The sequence below is a fragment of the Homo sapiens genome, chromosome 3, assembly GCF_000001405.40.
Source record: "Homo sapiens chromosome 3, GRCh38.p14 Primary Assembly".
Lineage (NCBI taxonomy): Eukaryota > Metazoa > Chordata > Mammalia > Primates > Hominidae > Homo > Homo sapiens.
Window position 1 is genome coordinate 145,833,872 of NC_000003.12, and position 9,364 is coordinate 145,843,235.

Sequence of the window (9,364 nt, forward strand, 5' to 3'; positions counted from 1 at the left end):
GGAAGAACTTCCAAACACTTACAAAGCCATCAGATCTCATGAAAACTCTCTCACTCTCATGAGAACATCATGGGGGAAATTGCCTCCATGATTCAATCACCTCCCTCCCTCAACACGTGGGGATTACAGGTCCCTCCTTCGACAGGTGGGGACTAAAATTTGAGATGAGATTTGGGTAGGGACACAGAGCCAAACTGTATCACCTTCATCATGAGGGTCAGCCTCAAAGAGTCAGTTGAAAGCCTTAAGAACAAAGGCTGTAGTTTCCCAAAGCTGGAGTTCTGTCTCCAGACTGCAACATAGAAATTATGCCTGAGTTTCACCAACAGTGTAAAAGTGTTCCTATTTCTCCATATCCTCTCCAGCACTTGTTGTTTCCTGACTTTTTAATGTTCACCATTCTAACTGGTGTGAGATGGTATCTCATTGTGGTTTTGATTTGCATTTCTGTGGTGGCCAGTGATGATGAGCATTTTTTCATGTGTCTTTTGGCTGCATAAATGTCTTCTTTTGAGAAGTGTTTACACTGTTGGTGGGACTGTAAACTAGTTTAACCATTGTGGAAGTCAGTGAGGCAATTCCTCAGGGATCCAGAACTAGAAATACCACTTGACCCAGCCATCCCATTACTGGGTATATACCCAAAGGATTATAAATCATGCTGCTATAAAGACACATGCACACGTATGTTTACTGCGGCATTATTCACAATAGCAAAGACTTGGAAGCAAACCAAATGTCCAACAGTGATAGACTGGATTAAGAAAACATGGCACATATACACCATGGAATACTATGCAGCCATAAAAATGATGAGTTCATGTTCTTTGTAGGGACATGGATGAAGCTGGAAACCATCATTCTCAGCAAACTATCACAAGGACAAAAAACCAAACACCACATGTTCTCACTCATAGGTGGGAATTGCACAGTGACAACACATGGACACAGGAAGGGGAACATCACACACTGGGGCATGTTGTGAGGTGGGGGGAGTGGGGAGGGATAGCATTAGGAGATATACCTAATGTTAAATGACGAGTTAATTGGTGCAGCACACCAACATGGCACATGTATACATATGTAACAAACCTGCACGTTGTGCACATGTACCCTAAAACTTAAAGTATAATTTAAAAAAAAAAAGAAATTATGCCGGAGTTTCCAGCCTTTGAACTCAAGACCACAACATCAACTTTTTTTTTATTGTGGCAAAAAACATGTAAGATCTACTCTATTAAATTTTTAAGTGAACAGCACAGTATTTTTAACTGTAAGCACAACGTAGCACAGCAGATCTCTAGAACTTTTCCATCTTGCCTGACACAATCTATACCCATTGAATAGCAACCCCTCATTTCCCCCTACCTTAGCCACTGGTAACCTCTAGTCCATTTTCTGCTTCAATGAGGATGAGTTTGACTATTTTAGATATCTCATATAAGATAAATCAAGTAGTATATTTCCTTCTGTGACTGGCTAATTTTACTCAACATAATGTCTCCCCGGATCACTTATGTTATAGCAAATGACAGAAACTACATTTTAATGGCTGAATAATAGTCCATTATATGTATGTACCACATTTTTTTAATCTATTCATCCATTGGTGGAAATTTAGGTTATTGTCACCTGTGGGCTATTGTGTCATTGTGAATAGTGCAGCAGTAAATGTGGGAGTGCAAATATCTCTTGAATATGCAGCTTCCAGCTTGCCCTATGCATGTTAGACTTCCCAGCCCCCACAGCCACAATTCTATAAAATAAATAGTGCCAATTCTATAAAACAAATCTCTTTCTATGTATACACAGATAGATATAGAGATATAGATATTGATACATAGACATTCTGTTGGCACTGGAGAATGCTAACTAATATAATGTACAAAATACATTGACAAGAAAATGAAAAGACAAATCACAGACTAGGAGAAAATTCTTCTAAAAGCATATCTGATAAAATACCTAAATATATGTGAGCAATTTTAAAATTCCATTTTAAGAAGAGAAACAATCCAAGAATTGGCAAAAATTTGAACAGACACCTCACAAAAGAATACATATGGATGGCCAATATGGATTGCAACAAGAACATTAAAAGGTGCTCAGCATGATTAGTCACTAGATAAATAAAAATTAAAATCACATTGATGTGCATTTTTACACCTAAATGAATGGCTAAAATTAAAAATCTGACAAAACCAAGTGCTGATAAAAATTTGGAGCAACTAGAGCATTTATACATAGTTTTTGAAAATGTAAATGGCATGACCATTTTGGAAAACAATTTGCAATGTCTTATAATATTGAACATGAACTTATTGTATGACCCAGAAATCCTACTGTTACCAAGGAAATTAAAAACATATGTCAACACAATGACCTGCAAATAAATACTTTAGCATATATATATATATACACATATATATATAAACTGGAACAATCCTTAATATCCTTCACCTAGTAAATGGATAAATATGTTGTAGTATGTCCATAGAATAAAATACTATTGAGAAGTAAAAATCAACCAACCACTGATACATGGAAAAACAACAATTTTAAAGGCATTATACTGAATGAAATTAACAGGAAAGAAAAGCCTACATTCAGAATGATTTCATATATAAGATATTCTGGAAAAGGCAAAAATCACTGATACAGAGATCAGAGAAGGAGATAATTTTTTTTTTTTTGAGACACAGTCTGGGAGACTCTGTCACTCATACTGGAATGCAATGGCATGATCTCAGTTCACTGCAACCTCTGCCTCCCAGGCTCATGTGATCCTCCCACCTCAGCCTCCCGAGTAACTGGGACTACAGGTATGCACCACCACGCCTGGCTAATTTTTTGTATTTTTGATATAGACAGGGTTTCACCACATTGCCCAGGCTGGTCTTGAATTCCTGGTCTCAAACAATCCGCCTCAGCCTCCAAAGTTCTGGGATTACAGGCCTGAGCCACCGTCCCCAGCCAAAGAGAGGATTTTGATGGGATATAACTATTCTATACTTTGAATGTAATAGCCAGTATTATTCCATTCTAGATATTTGTCAAAACTCATTGAGCTACATAATCAAAAGGCATAAATCTTTCCTTAAAATTATGCTCCAATAAATTTGACTTTAAAATAAAATGACAAATGAAAGATATCTGATTCATCAAAAAATTTCTACAAATGTAGTTCCAAATAAAAGTTAAAATTGAAATTAGGAACAAGTGCGAATGCTGTCTTATCTTACCAATAACAAACATAAGTGTTTTTCTTCCTGGAAAGTGAATATTTGTAGCATTGAGATTCAACTTTTTATAAAACTAAAAATCAATTTGATCATATCTTTGGGAGCTTGCTCCTCTACCTCATATTCATACTCAATGTCCCTGATGATTTTGGACAAAGAAATAAAAATTAAGTTCAAATAACATGGCAATTGAAAATGTTAATTTTAAAGAACTGGTATTTAAGGAAAATGGATTTTAAAAACACTCATAGATAGAAAGCAAGAGAGAAAAAATACCATATACAGACTTTTTATTAAATGTAGACAAAAGCTGAAATCAAAGGACAACAACAAAAGAGGTTCAATTTTTAACTTTGATGTTTCCACAAGATAATCAGTAGAAAAAAGGATAAACAACAAAAATATTAGTGTGCCAGGAAATCTATGTTAAATAAAGAACATTTGATTTTATTTAAGATGTACAAATAAATCTCAAACACAGTTGGATATTTGTGTTGTGATTTTTCTATTTGTTTAGATTTTATGTATAGGAATATAAAACTGAAATTTAAAATTAAAAAATGTGTTGTGGCTAGTAGTATGAGAAGTGCAGTTTGATAGAATTTGTTTCTTATTTCATTTGTTCATGTCTCACTTTCTGTGACACCTTGAAATAGATTTACTTTCTGTAGTTATCAACAATTCTAGCATTTTACTCAATGGCTGGGTGCGGTGTCTCATGCCTGTAATCCCAGCACTTTGGTAGTCAATGTGAGAAGATCACTTGAGGCCAGGAGTTTGAAACCAGCCTGGGCAGCGTGGCAAAACCCTGTCTCTACAAAAATAAATAAATAAATAAATAAATAAATAAATAAATAAATAAATGAATACAAAAATTTCCTGGGCGTGGTGGTGCACACCTGTGGTCCCAGCTACTCCAGGGGCTGAGATGGAAGAATCACTTGAGCTTTGGAAGCTGAGGCCACAGTGAGCCTGGATCTTGCTACTGTGCTCTAGCCTAAGCTACAGAGTGAGGCCCTGTCTCAATAAATAAATTAATAAATAGATAAATATTAAATGCAGTTGGACATTTGTATAGTGTTTTTTCTGTTTTTTTTAGATTTCATGTATAGGAATATAAAATTGAAATTTAAAGTTAAAAAGAAATTGTTTTTTGTGGTTAGCAGTATGAAAAGCACAGTTTGATATAATTCGTTTCTTATTTGCTCAGATCTCAGTTTCTGTGATATCTTGAAATAGATTTACTTTCTGCAGTAATCAACAATTCTAGCATTTTATTCATGTAAATTCTCCCTCCAATAAACTCCCATGTTTGGGATTACTGAAAAACATAAAGATAACTTCATAATCATATCCAATAACATTGTACCCTGAGCTCCCTATCAATGTATTTTACTTACGATCAAAATATTAGTCCTACTTATTGTACTAAATACATGTGATGGGATTTTAATGGAATTAAACAATTTGAGAGTTGAAATAGATATCAGTCCATTATGTCTATGTATTCACATACATTATTTTACATTGTTATAAAGGGATGTATTGAACTTATTTTTCTCCACCTTCATTTTCCAGGTTCGCTCATGACATATATGACAATTTTGGACTCCCTACTACACATTCTAATGCAAAATTGAAATTATTTATTAATGAAAATATTTATTTTGCCTTATTTATTACATTCTAAACACATTATGATATAATATTAGGCTTTATGTCGACATTTTGAACAGTATGATTTCAATCCCATAATCTTTAGTGTTCTCCTACATATTTATGCTATCTTTTTCTCTAACAGTGTTAAATGTTAAAATGTTTTAATTGATTACAGTGTTTAATTTTATTACAGTGTTTTGATTTTTAAAAATTAAAACTTATAAACCAAATTTTTAAATCTATCTTTTTAGTTTTAATTTATTTCGATGACTTTAGATTAATGAAATGCAACAAAGCAAAACCAGCTCCAACCTTTGTATTCCCTACCTGATTGATGTCAGCACCATAATTTTAATCATGTTTATTGTATTTTTTTGGAGTCTTATGTCTAAAGGTAACTAAGCTCTGAGGACTTCTGTCAACCAAAGTTTCATATACACATTTTCTTTACCCTCACTGTCTCAGTCCTAGTTCAAGCCCATGTTAACTCCCATTTGGAAAACAAATAATGTCACAATTGTTCTCTTTGCTGAATCTGACTCTGATGATGGAACATCTTCTACCTTCTGACTTTTTGGATTATTCATCTACTAAAAAATTATTTATTACTATTAATATTTAAAGAAATTGCATCTAAACCACTTTGTATGTTACACAAAGTCCTCATACATGCATATCCATGATATGTTTAAATGTATCCTTCCTAGTTAGGGATGGTGGCTGGTGGCTCTCACCTGTAATCCCAGCACTTTAGGAGACTGAGGCAGGCAGATCACTTGAGGCTGGGAGTCCAAGGCCAGCCTGGGCAACATGATGAAACTCCACCTCTACTAAAAAATACAAAAATTATCTGGGCAGTGGCACATTCCTGTAATCCCAGCTACCTGGGTGGCTGAGGCATGAGAATCGCTTGAGCCTGGGAGGCCTAGGTTGCACTGAGCCAAGATCTTGCTACTGCACCCTAGCCTGCATGACAGAACAAGACTCCGTCTCTAAATAAATAAATAAAAATAAATGTATCCCTCCTTTCCGATGATCACCTGGTTACTTAGTCAGCTTGGGTTCCCTTAACAAACACCATAGACTATATGGCTTAAACAACAAAAATTTATCTCCCACAGTGAAGTCCAAGATTAAGGTGCCAGATTATTTGGTCTCTGGTGAGAGTTCTCTTCCTGGTTTGCAGATGGATATCTTCTTGTAACTTCACGTGACAGTGATGAGGTCCTCACTAAAGCACCTACTTCCAGAAACATCAGGGGTTTTTGGAAGTAGGTTTAACATATGAACTTTGGGGGAACACAATTCAGTCCACAGTATCTGGCATCTGACAGTGAGTTTTAACCAGAGAAGACAATATGTCATGACTGAAACTTTTTCCACCCACTTTTCTCTGATTTCTTCTGTGTTTTCACCTCCATAGCTTTATCTTGAACTTTTCAAAACTTAACATCACCTTCTCAATTCATCTGGAAAATTCTACCCATCATTAAAGGCCTTGCTTAAGTTATCAGGCAGTCAAAATCTTGGAATGTTTTTCCAGCTTTGTCAGTAAACTAGCAGTGCATATTTAGCAAGTTGTTTAACAGTTCAGTTTATTTCATTACCTTTCAAATGAAAATGTTGGACTAGACAATTTCTAAGCTCCTGCTAACCTATGAGTTTATGATTTTGCATAAACCTTTCTCAGATGGTCCCCATGAGCTTTAATCTCTATTGTCCTGAAGTTTACTAAATTCCCTCCATTCTAGAACCTAGCTGTAATAGTCGATTTTCACACTGTTTTACAGAACTACCTGATACCAGGTAATTTATGAAGAAAAGAGGTTTAATTGACTCACAGTTCTGCATAACTGAGGAGACCTCAGGAAATGTACAATCATGGCAGAAGGTGAAAGAGAAGCAAGTACTTTCTTCATAAGGTAGCAGGAGAGAGAAAGCCAAGGGGGAAGTGCCACCTTTAAACCATCAGATCTTGTGAGAAGTTACTCACTATCATGAGAACAGCATGGGGGAAACTGCCCCTATGATCCAATCACCTCCCACCAGGTCCCTCCCCTGACACGTGGCGATTACAATTGAAGATGAGATTTGGGTGGGGACACAGAGCCAAACCATATCACCAGCCTATTCTTCTCTGTGTCTGAGTTAGTTGTGTATATTTTGGGAGTTCTTTGAAGGCAATGATCTCTCAGCTTCCGAGGCACATTTTGTGTTTTTGCCTTCATTCCTCAAAATATTGATACATGTTTGTTGAGTTTATTTTAGTTCTTTGGGTTCTAACACATAAAAGAAGTCCAGAAACAACTGAGACTCATTAGAAGAGTTATGATTAATACTGATGTATCATAATAGTGACCATCATAGGTATTAGTATTTCTTTTTTGGGAAGTATTACTTTGTTTGTTTTTTCATAAAAAATGGAATAGGAGACAAAGATAGTAAGAAATTATTTTTAGATGAGGACATAAAAATATAATCATATTAATGACCCCTCTAAATTACAGTGGAACTGGAAACAAAAACTGAAATATCATTTTCATTTTTATTAAGGTTTTTTCACTTTTGCTTGACAAAAAAACAAGTTTTTTATATTTAATTAGTTACGTATATTAGTTATACCCTGTATAACAATGTTTATAGTTAAAAATCATTATTTTCGGATGTCATTTACTGAAATATTTAATGCGTCCAACATAATGTAAAGTATGAAGCTAAAGTATATATTAAATTCTTGTAGGAGCATGAGTTTAAATACGAAAAAATTAGACAAATATTTTTTAACCATCCTTCTCTCCTTGGAAAATTGTCTCTCAAAAACTGCATATTCGCTTCCAAAATAGTAAACATACTAGTAGAAATCGTGAACTAAAGACCAATAAAATAAAAATAATAGGTGAGTAATTATAAATAAAGAGTATTAAACCATAGTAACAGTTCAAAATATCAATAATTCAAAAAGTCAAAGACCAATAACTAATAATTATAATAAAATAATAATAATGGTATAGAATTGTAGGGTAAAGCAAGAGAAATTACCCAGTAAAATTTTTCTTGACTGGCAAAATAAAATCTGATGTAAACTCAGCTGTGAAACAATCAATAGGAATATGATGAAACTGATCCTTTTGTTCAATCTAATATAATGATTTGGTTGCCAGATGAAGTTCAGCACCATGGGATTTATCAATCACTATGTGTCATTGTCTACTTCCATATGTGCTGGTTTTCTAAACTAAGGCATGCTTTTACAGTTAAGCTTATAAAGTTAGTGCTTATTTTTTAAGATGACCATGGACTCAGAAGAGGAGTACATGGTTTAGAATCCCGGTAATTCCACTCATTAATTGAGGGCCCTTGGATAATTGATGAAAAAGGAATAATCCTTAATAGTTTTTTAGGGATTAAATGAATATCTATTCATAAAATTATTTGAGGGACATACGCTACATATGTGCAGTGAACAAACATTAGTTAAATATGCACTTGGAATTGAGCACCATATTTATTAAGTAATATTTTATTTTGATACCTGAATAAAGAAAATTATTAAAAGACATGTTAAATTGGATTAGGTTGCTTTTATGAAATAATCACACTTTTGTTCATTTTAAATATTTACAAATACCAAAAGAAAGCAATATTGTAAAATTATACTACTGTGTAATATTGTTTTTACTCAAAAGTACTTCAGAGCAGGAGTCCAATATATCAGATTTAGCAATGTCATCAATAATTATCTAAAACATCAAGTTATAGGCCTATCAAATGTTATTACACTTCTTGACACTTTCTTTAATGGTCGATTATATGTGGCACACAATTTTGGTCATTACTTTGTTCAGAGGAGGTAAAGCAAAATGGATTCTGATGCTGCTATTTTACTCCAGCAGCTCTCAGCAGTCATCTACCTTGTCACTTTCTAAACCAATTGGCAGATGATTACAAAAGAATGGGCTATCTTTTCAGTTTCATAGCATCATTAGCTACAAGCCTCACTCATTACTATCAGGAAATTGACAGAGCGAAGAGCCCTTTTATGTAATCTCTAAGGAATTCTAGAGAGGATGTTTATGTCAGTGGAAGACAACTCTTTGTGTTTCACCAAAAAAAAATATTATTTTTAATCTGTACTGTGTGTGACACATGAATTTATGTGAACACCTAAAATAGATAATAAATATTTGAGTAAAAGCAACTATTATGTTGTAAACATATTTTGGGGAATAATTTTATCCTTTTAGTTTGATAAGCTTAGTCGGCTTCAATCACCATTAATCTACTCAAATTATTTACTGAAGTTCTACTATTATTATTGTTACGTCAGGATGATATTGGCTAGTTGCTTGAATAGGTAATTATTCTTGTTACCTGTTAATCTTCAAATCACTACTTAGGAGTAGCCAGTATCATGACAATTTTACAAAGAGGAAACTGAGGCTGGCAAAGCTAGTTAAAATATT

The 9,364-nt window shown here is 34.1% G+C and overlaps 2 annotated features.

The window, feature by feature from the left end:
* Positions 1,761 to 1,930: an enhancer, noted in NCBI's record as "experimental_65044 CRE fragment used in MPRA reporter constructs". NCBI's record gives its function as "activates a minimal promoter by MPRAs in K562 erythroleukemia cells, with activity observed for the introgressed 3:145553504 or rs78142179 variant allele {active_cell/tissue: K562}" and the evidence as "EXISTENCE:reporter gene assay evidence [ECO:0000049][PMID:34662402]".
* Position 1,846: a transcriptional cis regulatory region, noted in NCBI's record as "Neanderthal adaptively introgressed variant 3:145553504 (GRCh37/hg19 assembly coordinates) or rs78142179 in the experimental_65044 CRE". NCBI's record gives its function as "modulates activity of the experimental_65044 enhancer by MPRAs in K562 erythroleukemia cells {active_cell/tissue: K562}" and the evidence as "EXISTENCE:reporter gene assay evidence [ECO:0000049][PMID:34662402]".